General features: G+C 52.2%; 1 long non-coding RNA gene across 1 annotated transcript, besides 6 other annotated features; it reads right to left on the bottom strand.

The window, feature by feature from the left end:
* Positions 1752–2257: an enhancer, noted in NCBI's record as "H3K4me1 hESC enhancer chr16:87585884-87586389 (GRCh37/hg19 assembly coordinates)". NCBI's record gives its function as "activates a minimal SCP1, AML or CMV promoter by ChIP-STARR-seq in primed H9 embryonic stem cells {active_cell/tissue: H9 hESC(primed)}" and the evidence as "EXISTENCE:reporter gene assay evidence [ECO:0000049][PMID:30033119]".
* Positions 2258–2764: an enhancer, noted in NCBI's record as "H3K4me1 hESC enhancer chr16:87585377-87585883 (GRCh37/hg19 assembly coordinates)". NCBI's record gives its function as "activates a minimal SCP1, AML or CMV promoter by ChIP-STARR-seq in primed H9 embryonic stem cells {active_cell/tissue: H9 hESC(primed)}" and the evidence as "EXISTENCE:reporter gene assay evidence [ECO:0000049][PMID:30033119]".
* Positions 3881–4785: an enhancer, noted in NCBI's record as "H3K27ac-H3K4me1 hESC enhancer chr16:87583356-87584260 (GRCh37/hg19 assembly coordinates)". NCBI's record gives its function as "activates a minimal SCP1, AML or CMV promoter by ChIP-STARR-seq in primed H9 embryonic stem cells {active_cell/tissue: H9 hESC(primed)}" and the evidence as "EXISTENCE:reporter gene assay evidence [ECO:0000049][PMID:30033119]".
* Positions 11706–12206: an enhancer, noted in NCBI's record as "H3K4me1 hESC enhancer chr16:87575935-87576435 (GRCh37/hg19 assembly coordinates)". NCBI's record gives its function as "activates a minimal SCP1, AML or CMV promoter by ChIP-STARR-seq in primed H9 embryonic stem cells {active_cell/tissue: H9 hESC(primed)}" and the evidence as "EXISTENCE:reporter gene assay evidence [ECO:0000049][PMID:30033119]".
* Positions 12207–12707: an enhancer, noted in NCBI's record as "H3K4me1 hESC enhancer chr16:87575434-87575934 (GRCh37/hg19 assembly coordinates)". NCBI's record gives its function as "activates a minimal SCP1, AML or CMV promoter by ChIP-STARR-seq in naive H9 embryonic stem cells {active_cell/tissue: H9 hESC(naive)}" and the evidence as "EXISTENCE:reporter gene assay evidence [ECO:0000049][PMID:30033119]".
* LOC124903748 (uncharacterized) lies at positions 12662–15633 on the bottom strand. The gene is made up of 2 exons (XR_007065170.1): positions 15184–15633; positions 12662–13272 (listed from the first exon to the last, which is right to left on the bottom strand). It is a non-coding gene; the product is annotated as an uncharacterized LOC124903748 (long non-coding RNA).
* Positions 14315–14546: a silencer, noted in NCBI's record as "fragment chr16:87573595-87573826 (GRCh37/hg19 assembly coordinates)". NCBI's record gives its function as "represses an EF-1alpha promoter that drives an FKBP-Casp9 reporter gene in an ReSE screen in HepG2 liver carcinoma cells {active_cell/tissue: HepG2}" and the evidence as "EXISTENCE:reporter gene assay evidence [ECO:0000049][PMID:32094911]".
* Positions 15634–20365: the final 4732 nt, after the last annotated feature.

Raw genomic sequence — 20365 nt, 5'->3', positions numbered from 1 at the left:
AGGCAGTGTTTGATGGTTCATTTAAAACAATCATACTTGGCCGGGCGCGGTGGCTCATGCCTGTAATCCCAGCTCTTTGGGAGGCCGAGGCAGGCAGATCACCAGGTCAGGAGATTGAGACCATCCTGGCTAACACGGTGAAATCCCGTCTCTACTAAAAAAATAAAAAAAATGAGCCAGGCATGGTGGCAGGTGCCTGTGGTCCCAGCTACTCAGGAGGCTGAGGCAGAAGAATGGCGTGAACCCAGGAGGCGGAGCTTGCAGTGAGCTGAGATCACACCACTGCACTCCAGCCTGGGTGACAGAGCGAGACTCCATCTCAAAAACAAAAACAAAAACAAAAAACCATACTTGCCAAAGTTAAACTCTGACCGAGTGACAAAAACTAACAATTATAACTGCTTTATCTCTAGATGTCTATGTGTATTAGTCCGCGTGGGCTGCTATAATAAAAACTCCATGGACTGGGTGGCTTCTAAACAACAGAAATTTGTTTCTCACAGTTCTGGAGGCTGGGAAGTCCAAGATCAAGGCCCCGGGAGACTCGGTGTCTGGTGAGGGCTTGCTTCCTGGTTCACAGATGACGCCTTCTCACCGTGTCCTCACATGAAGGAAGAGGGGCATGAATCCCATTCACGAGGCTCCCTCTGGACCTCATCACCTACCACAGGCCTCATCTCGCGATGCCATCATTTTGAGTGTTAGGACTTCAACATAGGAATTTTGAGGGGGACACACTCAGCCCGTATCACTGTGCGTCCATTGGTATGAAGGCCATAGCACCTCCACTAGGAGAACAGCAAGCACAGTCGCACAGAAACATGTAACCTTAAAAAAATAAAGAAGCAGCCAGGCACAGTGGTTCACACCTGTAATTCCAGCACACTGGGAGGCCGAGGCGGGTGGATCATCCTAAGGTCAGGAGTTTGAGACCAGCCTGGCCAACAGGGCAAAACCGCGTCTCTCCTAAAAGTACAAAAATTAGCTGGGTATGGTGACGCCTGCCTGTAGTCCCAGGTACTTGAGAGGCTGAGGCAGGAGAATCTCTTGGACCTGGGAGGCGAAGGTTGCAGGGAGCTGACATCACGCTGCTGCACTCCAGCCTGGGTGACAGACCAAGACTCTGTCTCAAATAAATAAATAAATAAATAAATAAATAAATAAATAAATAAATAGTAAAATAAATAAATAAGCAACAAAGATCTAACCTAAGGCTTCCCCCAGAACTGCTGCTTCCACTCCCTTTCCTCCTACAAACAGAAGCTAAACGTGCTTGGCTGCTATGTTCCAGCCAGGCTAACAGCGCAGGGAGAGGCCTGGGCTCGGGGCCTCTGTAAGGTGTCCTCTCTCTCGTGGGGCTCCCGAGCCCTCTGTTCTGAGAACAGAACCCTTGCTGATTACAAGGGGTCTGTCATCCATCGCTCCTCTCGGCATGAATGAATTTCAGGACTCATTGAAAAAGTGAGTCACTGGCAGGGAATCTCTGACACGTGCTGCAGAAAACCTCGTGATCCAGCGTGCACCTTTCATTCCACCTGATTCAGAAATCCTCCTGCTGGATCCAACGCCTCCGAAGTGCTCATTTTCCCTCTGGAGCCTCAGAGCATCGTCTGTTATCTGACTCCAGCATTCCTCCAGTGGAAGCTTTGCTTTCTCTCAAACACGTGGGTGTTAGGTGGACTCTCTCCTCTCTGCCCCTGAGGAAATCTTGTCCCTCTAAGGAAATGCCAAGCCGGAGCCACATGCACATCTGGGATCTGATCCCGCCCCCCACTCCAGAGGACCCTGCTGACAGCCCCCCTAATCCAGGGCCGGGTCACTTCCCAATGGAAACCAAAGGGCGGGTCATCTCTGCATTCATTCATCCATCCTTTCCAGGAGCATTTGTATTTGTAATGTCGCACACCTTGTGCACCTACTCTATGCCACATACTTGACAGGCATTGTCCGGTCTCACCCGTACAACAGCCCTGTGAGCTAGGTATTATTAGCCCCTTGTACAGATGAGAAGACTGAGGCTCTGGGGTAAAGTCCGCCACTTATGCTTGAGAGTGGTGGAGGCAGGACTCCAGTGCTGACCCACATATGCGGAGCCCACTCTTTCTCACCATGCCTCGGCCTGGAGCACCTCCTCAGGCATGTCCTCAAAGCACCCACAGGCCAGGGAGGGGGAAGGACACCCGGCCAAGTGCCGTGAAGGTGCCGCCTGGAGGGCTATGTGCACAGCCGGGCATAGCACTGTGCCGAGTCGGGGTAGGAGCCGTCTGCTCCCAGCCCGAGCTGCCCACCTGGCCCAGGTGCAGCTACCGCCAAGCTGGGTCTCAGAACCACAGGGAGCCGGGAGCCAGCCCACTTCTCAGCCCTGCTGTAGCCAGACTCCTGTGGGGGCGCCCTGCCTCCTCCACTCTCCTGTGGTGTCCCTCTACCTGAGCCCCTGGGGCTGTGTAGACAAATGACCACACATTGCATGGCTTACAGCAGAAATGTACTCTCTTTCTCACAGTCCTGAGGCCAGAAGCCTGGAATCAAGGTGTGTGCTCCCTCTGAGGTCTCTAGGGGAGGACCCTTCCTGCACTGCAAAGTGGGGACAGTGATTGGCACCACAGGGGGTCCTGGGAGAGACTGACTAGGTGTGAGGGCGTCCTGCAGAGGCATTGGGGTCCCCCCATGCAGGCACCATGGCCAGACCTTGCCTGGTTTTATTGGAGAGGGTAGAGCCGTGTGTGGTGGCTCCAGGCATTGCTGGGCTTGTGGCTGCACTGCTCCAGTCTCCTCCTCCATCTTCACATGGCCTCTTCTATCTGTGCCTCTTTGCCTTTTATAGGGACACCTGGCATTGGACTTAGGGTCGCCCCTCCTCCAATATGGCCTCATCTTAACTAATTACATCAGCAATGACCTTATTTCCAAATAAGGTCACATTCCCAAGTACCAGCGGTTTTGACTTGAACATATCAATTTTTGTTTTTCTTTCGAGACAGGGTCTTGCTCTGTCACCCAGTCTGGAGTGCAGTGGCGAAATCTTGGCTCACTGCAGCCTCCACCTCCCAGGCTCAAGTGATCCTCCCGCCTCAGCCTCCCTAGTAACTGGGACTACAGGTGTGCCCCATCAAGCCTGGCTAATTTTTGTATGTTTGGTAAAGACGGGGTTTCGCCATGTTGGCCAGGCTGGTTTCAAACTCCTGAGCTCAGATGACCCACTGAGCTCGGCTTCCCAAAGTGTTGGGATTATGGGTGTGAGACACGGAACCCGGCCTTAGATATATCTCTTTAGGGATTCCCCTCTCTACACCCTCCAACAAAAGCAGGGCCGGTATGGCTGCGCACCTGTGTGGGGAGACTGGAGCCTTTGCAAGGCATTCTCACACCTGGTCAGCACCCCCACGACCCTCCGTGGTGGTGACCATCATTGACCCCACTTGAGAGGCCACGCAGCCTGCCCATGGCCGCACAGCTCGAGCGTGGTGGAGCCTCGTGGACCGGGTGTGCGGACCCTGTGCCCCCACACTCTGTCCACCAGGATGGGCTGCCTGTCCCCGAAACACACGGAGGTGGAGGAGGCGGGACTCTCGCAGGGGTTTTCGGGCTAACAGGAGAGGTGCGCGGTGCACAGCAATGGCTGCGTAGGCCCCAGGACGGCCCAGGGCTGCAGACGCTGGGGGTCTCACGTGCAAACTGTGCTGGGTGTGGGGTGAGCGGCAGTGTCTCAGGGTCGGGCGCTCCCCACGGGTCGCCTCCCGGTGTCCTCACTGGGACGCAAGCTCCGGACGGGGAGGCCCCGTCTGTTCTGCTCACCATGGCTCCCAACCCCAGAACTCAGCCAGGCCCCATAAGCACGTGGACTGGGGGAATGGATTCCCTGGTATTCAGGGGAAGGAGAAGTCCAGCCTCAGTTTCCCCGCCTGCAAAAGGGGGTGGGCGGGACGCCTGACGACCTTTGGAACCTGCCCGGGCGCGCCACCTGCTGGACGGCAAGGGCAGCACACCCGGTGGGAGCCGTCTCCAAAAAGCCCCAGGTGCTCAGCCTGGCCCTGCATGACCCACTCCCTCGGGCAAAAAAGGCCAGGAGCCTCATTCCTCCCAGTCCCCCGTGGCACAAGTGGCCCCATGCCCTGTGACTGGCAGGGGCCGAAGAGGGAGTCAGGATCTGGGCAGTGGCCCAGGAAGGACATATGCATCCGGGGAGCCTTGAAACCTCGTCCTCGGCACGCTCACACTCACACTCATCATCACACACCACACACACTCAGACACACACAAGCATTGTCACACACCCACACAAACACGTCTTTCACATACACGCTGGCACACGTACACGGCCACACGATCACACATCCATGCGTGCACACTGCCACGTGCTCACACATACGTGCAGGCACACTGCCACAAACACACATCCACGCATGCACGCTGCCACACACTCACACATACGTGCATGCACACTGCCACATGCTCACACATACGTGCATGCACACTGCCACACACATCCACGCATGCACGCTGCCACACACTCACACATCCGTGAATGCACAGTGCCACATGCTCACACATACGTGCACACACACCGCCACAAACACACATCCATGCACGCACACTGCCACACGTTCACACATCCACGCATGCACATTGCCACACGTTCACACATATGTGCACACACACTGCCACAGTCATACATCCATGCATGCACCGTGCCACGTGCTCACACATCCATGCATGCACCGTGCCACGTGCTCACACATACGTGCACACACACTGCCACAAGCACCATGCTCTCCCCATGCAGTTCTCCCTGAGAAGGGGAGTGAGGAGCAGGAAGGAGCTCCCAAGCTCCCATGTAGCTCCTTTCCCAGGCATGGTTCCAGCCCTGTGTACACAGAGCTATGCAGTATCCACCGTTCAGCCTTTCTGCCTTGACATTCTGCTTTGGACCTGTATCCACGTAGCCTTAGTTCATTTCTTGTCATGGCTCCAGTGTCCCCTTGTGTGAATTTGCCATAATTTATTTATTCATTCTGTCAATGGATGCTTCCAGGTTGCCTGCTATCCTGGGCGACACTACTGTGAACCGTAGAGGCTTGTGCTTAAAAGAAGGGCATCTGGCTGTGGGGCACACACACTGTCCACTGCACTGGCCGTTGCATGCAGCCACCCTCTTTTCAGCAAAGTGCACGATGCCCGCTTCCCTTCCCGCCCTCCATCACCCGGGTGGCCAGGTTTTTAAAGTTTTGCCAAAGTGCTGGGCATGGACAAGCATCGTGATGTGGCTTTGACTTGCAATGTCTCAGCCAGCAAAGGCACTGGTTCTTCAGACACTTAGTAACCACACATGTTTTCTCTTCTCTGACTTGCTTGTGGCTCCCTTTGCCTGTCTTTCTTTCTTTCTTTCTTTCTTTCTTTCTTTCTTTCTTTCTTTCTTTCTTTCTTTCTTTCTTTCCCTCTCTCTTTCTTTTTCTTTCTTTCTTTCTCTTTCTTTCTCTCTCTCTCTTTCTTTCTTTCTCTCTCTCTCTCTTTCTTCCTTTCTTTCTTAAGACAGAGTCTCACTCTGCTACCCAGACTGGAGTGCAGTGGCCGGATCTTGGCTGACTGCAACCTCTGCCTCCCAGGTTTAAGCAATTCTCCTGCCTCAGCCTCCTAAGTGGCTGGGATTACAGGCATGTGCCACCATACCCAGATAATTTTTGTATTTTTAGTAGAGATGGGGTTTCATCATGTTGCTCAGGCTGGTCTTGAACTCCTGAGCTCAGGCGATCTGCCCACCTTGCCCTCCCAACGTGCTGGGATTACAGGTGTGAACCGCTGCACCCGGCCTCCATCTTTCTATTTTCTTGCTTGTCTTTTATGTGTAGATTTTCAGAAGTTCTTTACAGAGTGTGGACACTTACTCTTAGACCATTAGTTGCATTGCTGATAACTTCTAATCTGTGAGACTTGCATTTTCACTTTATTTACGACAATTATTTTAAACAGAAGTTTTAAAATTTTGACATCAAAGTCATCAGTATTTTCTCCTACAGTTTGTGCTTTGGAGATCTTGTTAAAGAAATCCTTCCCTGCCCCAAAGTCATAAAGATATTATAGTTTTTTTCCCAAAAAACCTCAATGTGTTTTGCTTTCTGCAATTACAGCCCCCTTTGCTGTTAATAGCTGACTCTCCAGCAGAGGACTGTCTGGGACTGTGGGGTAGTTGGCACTCCCAGCCCCCTGCCCTCTCCCTGGTGCCTTCTCCCCTCTCTCCACCCCTATTTTCTCTTCCTTCCTCCCTCTGATCCACACGCCCCCCACCCCCATGCTGGAGTGTGGCCCAACCCCACCCTCCCCAGCACTTCCTCCCAGCTCGGCTCCAGCCTACACCATGGTCAACAAGAGCATGGCCTGCAGACACCGGCCCCAGCCCACAGGAAAGGCAGGGTGGCTTCAGATTGGAATTCCTGCTCTGTCTGCTACAGTAGGAAGGGGGCACTTGGAGGCAGAAAGCCCTGGGTCTGAGCCCAGCTCCATTGCTTGCCTACAGTGTGATCTTAGCCACGTTTCTTAGCCTGCCACCAATGTGTGCCACAAAACATGCCACTACCCACTCCAAATGCCCTGCCCCATGAATGCCACAAAACATGCCACCATGCCCACTCCAAATGTTCTGCCCCATTCCAGCCACAGAACATGCCACCATGCTCACTCCAAACACCCTGCCCCATGCCTGCCACATCATAAGGAACAAAAACCACCAGGGATCCTGCGTCCCATGTCTTCCACGGCCCTTCACATCCACGTCTGCCCCTGCCCACTCTGTTCTCTGCTCAAGGTGCTGACAGCAAAAGTAGACCCTGCTGCCCCCTGGCCTCTGGCTGGCTGTGGGGCGCCCTGGCATGAGATCAGCACAAGGCAGCAGCAGGAGGCTGGTGCTTGCCTCCCCAGAGCCCTTCAGTCCCTCCCCGAAGGTCACACACTCTGCAACTCTGAACCCCACACACCTTCCCGTCCAGGTTCCAGGGCCACAGCCTTCCTCCCTCAGTCCCAGGGATGGCAGCTCTGCAGCCACCTCCTGAGGGTCGCTGAGCCTGCTGTGGTCCCCACCTGCCCTCACCTGGTAACCCACACATCTATAAATCATCCCCTGGTGTGGTTCTGAAGCAAGCGTGCCAGGCATTTTCTGACCGAGGGACCAAGACCGCCTTTCTCCTTCGGAGATCTCCAATCCCTACCAACCCAGAGAGAAACGCCCCAGGAAAGTGAGAAAGGCCTGGCAGCGGGCGTCCTAGGAGGTCTCAGAGGCAGCTGATGCAGTGGCGGATGACGGCTGTGTGTGTCCAGGCCGGAACACTGTGCTCCCCAATTTGGCCGTCGTAAAGACGAACAGACGTGGTCGGCACACTGGGGCAGCCTGAGAGGTCAGACCAGCCCTTCCCTGCCCTGAGTGCTGATGAAAGCAGCGAAATGGGGCAAGGGGAGGGGTGGGGGCATGGGGCATGAGGGCCTGGCTTGCCAAAGTCCTCCCTAGCACTTCATCAAGGTTAAAGGGGGTAGCCTCTTCCCACTATCCCCCTGCCTGCTGGAAAGCTAGATTCCATCAGGGAACAAGGACAGTAGGAGAGAGGGTGCCGTAGCGGGAAGGGCCTGGCTCTGAAGTCCTACCTGCCCTCGCTGAGCTCCCCGCCATGCTGTTTCCTACTTGGGTGGCTTGGGCAGGTCCTTCAGCCTCTCTGAGGATTACACAAAAAGTGTCTGTGAAACATTCAGCCCACGCGAGCTCTCAGCCACCCTTAGCTTTCACAGCTGCAATTGGGAGCATTCTTACGACTAACACAAAAAACAGAGCTAAACATGTTCTCTGGACACAAGAAAAAAAAAATGCATCAATTTCAGTGTTAAATTAATGACCACTGACCTCTATGGCTTTGCTGGACGGAGGAGAACATCAAGACCCAACAGAGGTGAGTGGCCGGCTAGGGCACCCAGTGGCAGCAGAAATGGTCCGGGAACACAGGCCTTTGGAATCTGTCCTTACCGTATCAGGGTGTGGCAGACACATTCCAGGGTGACCCTCAGGGAATCACACCCTGTGTGGTCCCCTCACCTTGAGAGTGAGCAGGGCCTGGAACGTGCTTTTGAACAACAGAAAGTGGCAAAGCGAGGGGCAGCTCCTGTGAGCACATTCCATTACGTTAACTCCATCTCAGCAGGCCGGAGTGAGGAGATCTCCTGCCAGCCTTGAGGAAGGAAATACCCACGTCGTGAAATGCCCTCGGACGGGGCCACAGAGCAGGGGACAAAGGTAGCTCCCAGGGGACAGTCAGTCATGAAAACAGGCCCTCAGCCCTACAACCACAGGAAATACATTCTGCCAACAGCCTGGATGAACGCAAAGCAGACTCTGCCCCAGTTGGGCCTGCAGATGAGAACGCAGCTCAGCAAACACCTCAAATACAGCTTTGGGAGACCCTGAGCACAGACCAGCTAAGCTGTGCCTGGATGCCTGACCCACAGAAATGACAAGATCATAAATGTGTGTGTTTTGTGTTTTGGTTTGGTTTTTTGAGACAGGGTCTTGCCCTGTCAGCCAGGCTGGAGTGCAATGGTGCAATCGTATGTCATTGCAGTCTTGACTTCCTGATCTCAAGCAATCCTCCCACCTCAGACTTCCAAATATCTGGGACCACGACCACAGGCACGCACCACCACACCCAGCTAATTATTTTTTTCTTGTAGAGACGAGAGGTCTTCCTATGTTGTGTGATTTCAAACTCCTTGGCTCAAGCCGTCCTCCTGCCTCAGCCTCCCAAAGTGCTAGGATTATAGGTGTGAGCCACCCCACCTGGCCGTGTGTTGTTTTAAGTAGTTAAATTTGTAACACAATGCAGCATAGGAAACTAATACACATAGGATCACTCTGTGTGCTCCCAAGCCAAGAGAAAACATCCCGTTCTTCCTACCAACAGCAGACACTCTGCTCCTAATCTCTCCTTTGCTCATGCACTGATTTGCCGAGCACCAAGGCTGTGCCTGTCTCATCTAGGTGCCAGGTGTTATGGTCTTCCCATTGATCTCATGGTGAGACCACCCCTGACTTCTAAACAGGCTTATGGCTGCACCCCACAGCCTCCCTCGAAGGTAGATATGGCCACATGATGAGGATGAGGATGAAAAGTGATGTGTGTACCTTCTGAGCCTCTCCCTGCACAGACTGGGGAGTCTCCCCCTCCCCTGCCCCTTCCTGCTGGCTGGAGTGCGGCCCACTCTCAGCTCTCTCTGGGAATTACCCTTAGCAGAAGAGAGCTGGCTTGCACAGAGGCACACCTACACTGGGGGGCTATAGAGGCCAAGCCCCTCACTCCCACTTGGGACAACTGTGATGGCCCGTGCCAGCCTCAGAGACCCGGCAGGAGCATCTCAGCCACCTCCTCCCTCTGTTGGTCCTGCCTCTCCCTGAGAGCATGCCCAGGTCCTTCCTGTATGCAAATCTCCATCGCAGGTCTGCTTCCCGGGACCCTGCCCTGCAGCATGTGGACAAGGACCATCCTGGGACCCTGCCCTGCAGCACGTGGACAAGGACCACACACAAGGGGAATTGTGGAATGACAAATGAGAAGGTGCCCGGGCCACACCAGCTCGACCTTGGTGTGAGAGACTAAGACAGAAATCACCTTCCACCTCTGGCAGTCTCTGCCACTCTGATTGTCTTTGTTAGAGCACCCAAACCAATACTCTCATTAATATCCCAGGTTAATGATGCATGGGTGTTCAGCGTGGATGGAGTCCCGACCATCCTGGGGCACTTATAAAAATCCCTCCACACAGAAAACTGTGCCTTTCCAGGCTGAGTCCACTCGGATAGGGAGTGCTTCCTTAGTCTGTTTTCTGTTGTTGATAACACAATACCTGAAACTGGGCAATTTATAAAGAAAGGGAATTAATTTCTTACAGTTATGGAGGCCCCAAGTGGCACAGGGCATCCCATAGTGTGGAGGCTGACTGCTCACTCAGGTCTTTCTTCTTCTTCTTATGAAGCCACCAGTCCCACTCCCGTGATAACTGACCCACTCCTGGGATAACCATTAACCCATTAACCCGTTCATCCGTGAGCCCACCAATGTTAACCCGTTCATCTGTGAGTCCACCAATGGATTCATCTACTGATGATGGCAGAGCCCTCTCGACTCAATCACTTCCTCAAGGCCTCACCTCTCAATGCTGCCACTGTAGGGATTCGATTTCAGCATGGGCTTCGGAGAGGACAAACATTCAAACCCTAGCACGTCCCTTTCTCTAATTTGCAGAAAGACACCTCATGCCCTGGCCAAGCCCCCACTTCATGGGCTCGAAGACCCACAAGGGAGAAGGCAGTGAGGGCCCCTTCCTGCCCACAGGAAGCTCGGCACAGACTTGGGAACGCAAATGAGGTTGGTCACCGCATGAACGGGTGGCCCACAAAGAGTAGGAAATCCTTATAAGGAACTTCCTACACAGCCGCGTCTTGGCTGAGAAACATGCGGCTCACACAGACCCATGCGGTGCCTGCCTGAGTGGAAGGTTCCATTTTTAGGATGATTTTCGGACCACACGCGGCAGCCCTACGTGGGAAGCGGCAGAAGGGGGCTCCAGAGGCCGTCAGGAGGCCTCAGATCGTGGAATCTGTGCCAGCACCTTCAAGGGCTCTGCTTATGGGAAAGACCTGAAACTTCGTGGATCAAACGTTGGAAACACATTACAAAGTTTATTACACCAATACACATATTTTGTGCTGAATGCACAAACAGAGAAATAAAACTTGTTGATGAGCAGAGTGCTCTCTGCAGTGCTTCTCAGCGCACCTCAAGGTCAGGAGGTGCAGTGAGGTATGTCGTGTCATTTCTGACGAAGCAGCAGCAGGGCCGCGAGCACGCAGGGGCCACCAGCTGCCTCCAGCTGCAGGGGCCCTCGGCCCTCTCCTGCCCAGTGCTACACCCCTGGAGGAAACGCGCTGGGGTCCACGCACCTGGGACTTCTTGGTCTAGCCAGGGCCTGGTTCATGGAAGCGCTGAGTAAATGGGTGATAATTTGCTCATGGATTGTCCCTAAGCCAGGGCAGCTCCCTATCTGAACCAGTTTTAACAGAATCCATTGGAAATGTGTGTTGAATAACCTCAGGGCCCCTGCCGGATCCCTGGATCCCTTTTTACCATTTTTGTGCTCTCCAAAGCTTTGGAGTGTTTATACCTCCAACAGCCAGCACCAGCAGCTGCTTAAAGCAGTGGTTCCCAAACTTCTTGGCACCAGGGACTGGTTTCATGGAAGACAATTTTTCCATGGACCAGGCAGGGTGAATGGTTTCAGGACGATTCAACTTATTACACTTACCGTTCACTTTATTTCTATTATTATTACATTGTAATATCTAATGAAATAATTATACAACTCACTATAACGTAGAATCAGTGGGAGCCCTGAGCTTGCTTTCCTGCAACTGGACAATCCCATCTAGGGGTGATGGGAGACAGTGACAGATCATCTGACACGAGTTTCTCATAAGGAGTGCACAACCTGGATTCCTCGAATGACAGTTCACAATAGGGTTCGCGTTCCTAGGAGAATCTAATGCTGCAGCTGATCTGACAGGAGGGGGAGCTCAGGCCGTAATACCAGCGATGGGGAGCAGCTGTAAATACAGAGGAAGCTTCACTCACTCACCTGCTACTCATCTCCTGCTGTGCAACCGAGTTCCTAACAGGCCATGAACCAGTACCAGCCATATTTCAAAGGCTCAAAAGCCACAAGGGACTAGTGGTCACCATATCGGACAATGCAGATCTAGAACATTCCATCAGTGCAGGAAGCTTTATTGGGCAACTCTGGTCTGGAGTGTAAGCTTCATACGGGAAGGGATGCGTGTCCGTGCTGGTCACTGCCGTGTGACAGATCATCGTGTATTAGAATCTCATAAGGAGTGTGCAACCTAGATCCCTTGCATATGCAGCTCACGATACGGTCCACGCTTCTATGAGAATCTAATGCTGCGGCTGATCTGACAGGAGGCGGATCTCAGGTGTTAACGTGAGCCGTGGGCAGCAGCTGTAAATACAGGTGAAGCTTTGCTCACTCACCTGCTGCTCACCTTCTGCCGTGGCCCGGGGGTTGGAGACCTCTGGTTTAGAGGGTGGCCTGTGGGCTCTCTGAAGCCGCTTCACCCTCATGCACGGAAATGCCTGGGAATTTATACCTCCCTAGACCACGCTTAACCAAAGACAGGTGGGTTCTGGGTGGGTGTATGAAGACCTCAGCTCCCTGGTCTCAGGCTGGGACATCCCTGGGTGTGATTGACCCTCCACAGTTCCCCTGTGGGGTCGGGCATGCCCCGCCCACCCCAGTTCCTTCAGGCTGCAGAAGGACTGTGCCCACATAGCACCCTGCCCAGCTTCCTTCCTTTTCCAGTCCAGCTTCCCACCCCCAACCTGTGTCCCCAGGGAGTACTCCCTGAATAGTCGCTGCAAACACATCCTCATCCTAGGGGCTGCGTCTGGGCAACTGCTCCTAGGGAAAAGGTCTGGTTACGCAAGCAGATTCCTTGGCACACCGACCCACAGGAGGGAACCCATGCTGTGCCGCCGTAAAAGAAAAAAAAATAAAGAAGCGGCGAATTTGGTGACAGCTTTGGAAAATAGTATTTAGTGAGAAAAGCAAGGTGCGGAAGCCTGGGCTGTGGTATCTTTATTTTCTGAGCGGGGAAAGATAAAAGTGGACCGTATCTTGTATTTGCTGCCTCCCTAAAGAAAACAAGCCGGAAATACAAGAAGCCAATGAAAGCGGACACATAGGGCGCCAGAGCGGGGTAAGGGTTCCCAGGCTCTCTGTATGTTTGGATTATTGAGTCATGTGGATTTGCACAGATCCCAAAACCAAAACACAGATCCCTAGGCCCCGCCGTCTGGGAGTCTGACGCAGCTGCTCTGCGGTGAGGAGACAGAGGCTGTGTTCCCGAGAGGTTCCAAGGGGGACAGTTGCACCGCCAGTCTTGCGGACGTTGTTCTAGATGATTTCTTTGAGTGGTCTGAAACAAAGCCGAACCACTCACCAGCAGCGCTGTCTTCCTGGATGCAGCCAGCCCTGCTGGAAACGGGTGGGAAGGCTGTCTTCTTCACTCCCGGGGGCCTCTGAAGGTGGGCGTGAGTCAGGGGCTCCTGGGAGAAATCGACCGCCCTTGCCGGCCTCCACGGGCCCTGGAAAGCCTGAGAGCCTGGCGCTCCTGCCACATCCCCATTGCCATGGCAACGGCAGACACAATGGTTTCTGTGGAGTTCGGATCTATAAATAATTTCTAGATTAGTCTTGGCGAGGTGGATGGGGTGGGCACCGAGGGGAGGTTCCTGGTGGCCGGCGGGACGGGCCACTGTCCACAGGCCATGCCAGGCCTGGGGCAGCGAGGTCACAGCCTCCTGGGTCAGATGCTGTGCCCTGGCCAGTCGGCAGGAGTGGCCTCGGCAGGCTCCGCAGCAGTTTCTGCCCCAGAGACCATGCGTGGGACAGTTCCATCTCATCTGTGAGTCCCGGACATGTGTGGACCCAGGTTGGCTGCACAGGACCCAGGGTGGCTGGGTAGAGGGCTGTAAAAAAATCCCTGCTGCTGATCTGGGGACTGAGGGAGGCTCAGGGGTGGGAGTTGATCACCACCGTTTCTAGGCACTCACGAGGGCCCTGTTCAGTGTCTCGGCGTTGCTGGGTAGACCCTGGTGGGGTGACAACAGGATCTGAGTGTTTGGACTCCATTCTCTCTGCTTCCTCTGTCCACGTTTTAGGGATGCCCTATTCAATGAGCCCTCTCTCTCTCTTCCTTTTTTTTTTTTTCTTTTTCTAGCAGTGTTTCCAGGGAAGGGCTCATATTCCCCACACTAGGGGCTGAGAGGGTGGATGCTTCTGGGTAAATCATTTGAAAATCAAGCAGATCCAACACCTTTGCTGTCTCTGATTAGAGTGAGCTCGCTGGGAGGGGCCCCCAAAGGGCCCCTGAATGGCTACGTGCTGCATGGCGTTAGGAGTGAGGGGCATGACCCTGACACCGGGAGGGCAGGCGTGTGAGCAAGTGCAGCCTACGGGGAGGCAATTTAACCACAGCCCCGGCACTGACAACGGCAAATCCTCTTGCGCAGCAGTTCTCCTCCGAGGATTCTTCCTGAGTGAGGCACTGGCATAGGGGCACAAAGGCATATATGTGCCAAAGGCATGACCCACGCCATGCGTTGATTACAGCAGAGACTGAGAGCAGCCTCATGCCTGTTGGTGGAGAGGAGTGGAGAAGGACAGCCTACTCCCCATGCACTGAGAGCTCTTGTGCAGTCAGCAAAAAGCGTGGTGGCTCCATCCATGTGGACACAGAACAGCTTTCAAGAGAAATAAGAAGGGCTGGAAGTGGCAGCTCACGCCTGTAATTCCAGCACTTTGGGAGGCTGAGGCGGGCAGATCACCTGAGGTCAGGAGTTAGAGACAAGCCCAGCCAACGTGACAAAACCCTGTCTCTACTAAAAATACAAAAATTAGCTGGGTGTGGTGATGGGCACCTGTAATCCCAGCTACTTGGGTGGCTGAGACACGAGAATTGCTTGAACCCGGGAGGTGGAGGTTTGCAGTGAGCCGAGCTTGTGCCACTGCACTCCAGCCTGGAAGGCAGAACAAGACTCTGTCTCAAAAACAAAAAAAAAAAAAAGAGACAGAGAGAGAAATAAGAAGAACCAGAGGCACCCAGCGCATGGGCTGCTACTGTCTGTGTAGGAGGCCGAGTAATGTATCACACATGCACACCTAAGTGTGCATACACATATGTGTGCACGAGCACATATGCACACACATAGCTAGAAAAAGGGGCTCTGGGACCCTGAAGATTTGGGGTGGAAGGAAGCTTACTTTTCAGGACATCCTTTCCTGTACTGTTTGGTTGTGGTTGTTTAACCATTTGTGTATGTTAATTTTTCAATTAAAAATAGTTGAGCAAGGTGTGGTAGCATGCACCTGTCATCCTAGCTACTCAAGAAGCTGAGGTGGGAGGACTGCTTGAGCCCAGGGGCTTGGGTCTAGCCTGGGCAACATAGCCAGACCCCATCTCCAAAAAGAGTTTTAAAAATAGGTGAGTGGAAGTTTGGAGAAGAAGGAAGGAAGAGGAAAGGAGGCAGGAGGAAGAGAGAGAAAGGTGTACCCCGCACCGCGGAGGCAGCAGGTCCTCACCTGAATCTGTCTCCCCGTTTCCCAGCTGCGTGGCTGTGGACAAGTCACTCGGCCTCCCTGCGACACCACTTTCCTGCCTGTGAAATGGACTCACGGATAAACCAATCTCACCAAGTTGTTGCCAGGATCAAATAAGTCAAAAATGAGAAAGGATTTAGGAAACTGCAACGGGCATTTTCCCTTGAAAATGGCCCCTGGCTCTTGCACACGCACGTGTGCCAAACAGCTCAGATAATGATTTTCATTTATTCTAATCCTCAGGCTGCCTGAGCTGGGCTTCAGGGGTACGCTGTGGGAAGATCTGAGCACACAGGCCCCGCCGGGGTTCAGATCTGGAGACCCAGCAAGGGCTAATAAAACACAAACTAAATATTCCTCTGGCCTCCCCCACGGAGTGTTTTTCTCTGATTCCGGATCGGCCCTTGGGCTGTTAGAAAACATCTTCTGGGGACAAAGGGCAAGCGGTGAATTTGTGTCCCCTACAGAGAGGAGGGCTGGAGTTGTGGTTCTCTAAGAAGCCACGTGAACCAGAAGCAGCTCTCAGGGGCGGCGGCGTCTGCCCTCAGCCACGCTGGAGTCCACCCCAACTGGCAAGTGGAGAAAAGGAAGGAAAAAATGAGTCAAAAGGAATGGGAAACTGTGTTGCTCACATTTATGAAATGAATGTAGGTCTCCAACATATGCTCTGGCCTGGAGCATTGCTGTCTCTGCGTTAGTAGCTGGGCATGGCTGTGTTGACAGTGGCGGAGGAGAACTCACAGCAGTGGTGAACGTCAAATGTCAAATGTCATTAGAAACCAAGAAGGGGGCAGATTTAAAAAGAAAAAAAGCAGGGAATGCATTCCACCTTTAAACAGAAGGCTTGGGCAGGGTATGAAGCTCGAATCTCATACTTCAAAATGTTTTTGCATCTTGAGGAAACCGTACAGGAACTTGACTGTGAGGAGCTATAGGGCTGCCTGGTCATTTGGATGTGGCCATGTTCACATAAACACTCAGTGCTCGTCAGCTGGAGTTTTGGATTCAGGGAGATGGAAACAATTTAGACTTGGGGGTGTTTGAGGTCAGCGGTTATAAGTGAGTCTCAGGGTTTTTCCCACAGTTGATGAAAACAGTTTCTTTGACATCAAAAATACATATCTATTTTGAAACAGGGTCTTGCTCTGTCCCCCAGGCTGGAGTGCAGAGGTGCAATCATTACTTACTGGCATCTCCAACTTCTGGGCTCAAGGGATCCTCCTGCCTCAGCCTCCTGAGTAGCTGGGACCACAGGCGCATACCATTTCCCCTGGCTTATTTTTAAATTTTTTGTAGAGATGGGATCTCACTCTGTTGCCCAGGCTGGAATGCAGTGGCATTTTCTCAGCTCACTGCAGCCTCTGCGTCTGGGTTCAAGCAATTCTCCTGTCTCAGCCTCCCAAGTAGCTGGGATTACAGGTGTGTGCCACCACATCCAATTTTTTTTTTTTTTTTTTGCATTTTTAGTAGAGACAGGGTTTCACCATGTTGGCCAGGCTGGTCTGAAACTTCTGACCTCAAGTGATCCACCCGCCTTGGCCTCCCAAAGTGCTGGGATCACAGGTGTGACCCACCGTGCCTGGCCTCTATATATTTTTAATGTAGCCATTGGGCTCCTTCACCAGGGCTGATCCAGTTAATCTGGGACGAGGCTCAGGAAGCTCCATTTTAAGAGTAACACAAGTGACGGGGATGCATGCCAATGTCAGAGAACCCCAGGCTGGAATAGGGGGACCCCAAACCCCAAAGGGCATGCAGGACAATCCTCTGGAAGTGTGGGAGAAAGCTATTATGACTTCAGCTTCAATTTATCTCATCCTTTTACATTTTCTCTTTTCTCATTTTATAATGTGCATGAAAGTCAGCTGCAGAGCCCAAATGTATGTTTTATAAATAATGATGATAAAAACCAACCCCTGCACTGCCGCTGTGCCACAGCCCTGTTCTAAGCCTTGTAAGCATATTCACTCATTTACTCCTCAGGACTCTGGGAGATATTATTACCCTCTGCTATGAATTGTGTGCCCCTAAAATTCATATGTTGAAGCCCTCACCCCCAGTATGACTGTTTGGAATAAGGAAGTGATTAAAGTTTGCCGAGGCCGTGAGGGCAAGACCCAGATAAGGTAGGGATTAGTATCTGTATTAGCATGTTATCACACTGTTATAAAGAAATATCCAAGACTGGGTAATTTATAAAGGAAAGAGGTTTAATTGACTCACAGTTCCACATGGTTGTGGATGCCTCAGGAAACTTACAATCACGGAGGAAGGCGAAGAGGAAGCAAGGATCTTCTTCACAAGGCGGTAGGAGAGAGAAGAGCAAGAGAGAGCAGGGAAAACTGCCTTATAAAACCACCAGATCTCGTGAGAACTCCCACTGTCACAAGAACAACACGCGGGAAACCACCCACATGATCCAATCACGTCCCACCCAGTCCCTCCCTCAACACTTGGGGATTAAATTCAAGATGAGATTTGGGTGAGGACACGGAGCCAAGCCATATCGGTATCCTTGAGGCAGGAGAATAGCGTCTGGAGGCAGGGAACCTAAGGCTCTTTCACGCTGATTTCCTAGAACTAAATTGAAAGGAGAGCCCTAACTTTCCACATCTAAATAACAAAAGGACCAGAGGCTACCCCTTTGCAAACCCCTACCTTTTCTGCCAGGCAGATGGGAAATTGAAAGTACCTCTGATTGATCGCTTTTTGCAACCAATCAGACGTTTGTATTGGAATGTAACTTTGTAACTTCACTTCAGCCTCTGATTGTGTGCTTTCCACAACCAATCAGATGTTTGCATAGGAGTGTGAGCTTTGTAACTTCACTTGACCAATCAGACCGATTGCAGGCCGCCACTTCATTTACATGGGGTGAACACCAAGTGGCCACTGGGAAACCTCTAGGGGGTATTTGGACCCGAGAAGATACAGTATCTGGGGCCCTTGAGCCCCTATGCCGGGGCTTACTTTCACCCTGTGGAGTGTACTTTCATTTTCAATAAATCTTTGCTCTTGTTGCTTCATTCCTTTCTTGATTTGTTTGCACATTTTGTCCATTTATTTGTTCAAGATGCCAAGAACCTGGACACTTTCCACCGGTAACATTCTCATCAGAGGGACATCAGAGCACATTCTCTCTCTCTCTCTCTCCCTCCCTCCCTCTATGCCACGTAAGGACCTAGGAAAAGGTGGCCAACTACAAGGCAGAAGAAAGCTTCATCAGAACCTGACCCTGTTGGCTCCCTGATCTTGGACTTCCGTCTCTGGAACTGTGAAGTCTAAACCACTCAGTCTATGGCATCTGTGTTATGGCAGCAGGAGCTGAGACATCCTGCATCGTGCAGATGAGGAAACAGAGGTGCAGAGAGGTGAAGCAGATTGGCCGAGGTAGAACAATGAGAAGGCAGGAGAGCTGGGATTTGAATTGAGGTAGTTTGGCTGCCGGTCCAGGCTTTTAATCATGTATTTGGGGCATGCTCCTTTAAAACTAGCAAACAAAAACTCCTAGAGGAATGTGTTTGAAGAAGTCTGGAAACGCCTGGGTTGGAAGGAAAGGGTGTGAGAGTCTATGGTAGACAGAATAGTGACCCCCAAAGATGTCCATATCTTAACCCCCAGAACTTGTGGATATCTACCTTGCCAAGAAAATTACCAAGTAATTTACCTTACTTGGCCGAAGAAACTTTGCAGATGTGGTTTACAAATCTTGAGCTCGGGGGGCTGGTTATCTGGGATTATCCTGGTGGCCCCAATGTCATCACAGGGATCCTGGTGACAGGGAGGCAGAAGTCAGCAAGGAGAGAAGATGCCATCCTGCTGGCTTGGAAGACAGAGGAGGGGCCATGAGCCAAGGAATGCAGGCAGCCTCTAGGAACTGCAGAAGGCAAGCAGACAGATTCTCCCCTGGAGTGTCCAGAAGGAGCAGGCCCGTTTCAGACTTCAGAACTCCTGAACTTTAAGATAATAAATGTGTCCTGTTTTAAGCCACTAGTTTGTGGTAATTTGTTGCAACAATGATAGGGGAAAAATGCAGATTTGGAGGGCAGATGACTAGGGGGATGATGTGGTTGGGGGGAAAGTGATTCTCGGTTTGGAGCTGAAGTAAGGTGGCCTGTATACAGGTTCCTTTGTAATGTGACTTAGCAAATCTGCAAAGGGCTTTGTGATATTGTGATATAATAAGAAATATATATTTGGTCTCCATCCTGGTTCCGGACACAGAGCTCCTAAAATCCTCAGAATTCCCTGAGCAATAAGGGTGGGAAGATCATCTTCGGTTATTCATAATGACAACTCTCTTCGTCCGTTTGTGTTGCCGTAAAGGAATACTTGAGGCTGGATAATTTATATAGAAAAGAGGTTTATTTGGCTCACAGTTCTGCAGGCTGTATGGGAAGCAGGGCACCAGCATCTGCATCTGGTGAGGACCTCGGGAAGCATCCACTCAGGGCAGAAGGTGAAAAGGAGCAGGTGTCATGTGGAGAGGAGAGAGGCAAGCGGGGGAAGCTGCCAGGCTTTTTAAACTATCAGTTCTCTCAGGAACTGCTAGAGCGAGAGCTCTCGAGAACTCACTCATTACTGCATGGACGGCACCAAGACATTCATGAGGCATCCACCCCCATGACCCAAACACCCCCCAACCAGGCTCCAGTCCCAACACTGGGGTCAAAGTTCAATATGAGATTTGGAGGGGACAAATATCCAAACCATTATTAGTAACTACATCTGAGTTTACGCTAATGAGGTGACTCTTGGAGGATGGGGGCTGGTTGCCAGAGGAGGGTTAGAACTTCAGTCCCCCTGCTCCCCAACCCCAACCTCCAGGGAGGGGAGAGGGGCTGGAGATCGACTTAATCCTCAATGGCTGATGATGTCATCAATCATACCTGTCTAATGAGGTCTCCAAAACACCTGTCAATGACTGGAAGGGGGTTTCAAAGAGCTTCTGGGTGGGGTTAGTGAACACATCAAGGTGCAGGGAGGGCAGTGCACCTGGAGAGGGCATGGAAGCTCTGCACCCCTCCTGCGCCTCCCCTACTTACCCCGTCTATTCCACCCCGTCCATCCCACCCTGTCCATGACTTGGCTGTTCCTGAGTCATATCCTTTGTAATAAACCAGTAAAAATAAGCAAAGTGTTTCCCTGAGTTCTGTAAGTCATT

Source organism: Homo sapiens, chromosome 16 (assembly GCF_000001405.40).
Source record: "Homo sapiens chromosome 16, GRCh38.p14 Primary Assembly".
Classification (NCBI taxonomy): domain Eukaryota; kingdom Metazoa; phylum Chordata; class Mammalia; order Primates; family Hominidae; genus Homo; species Homo sapiens.
The sequence above is the reverse complement of the archived record's forward strand: the minus strand, read 5'-3'. Positions and strand labels throughout refer to the sequence as shown.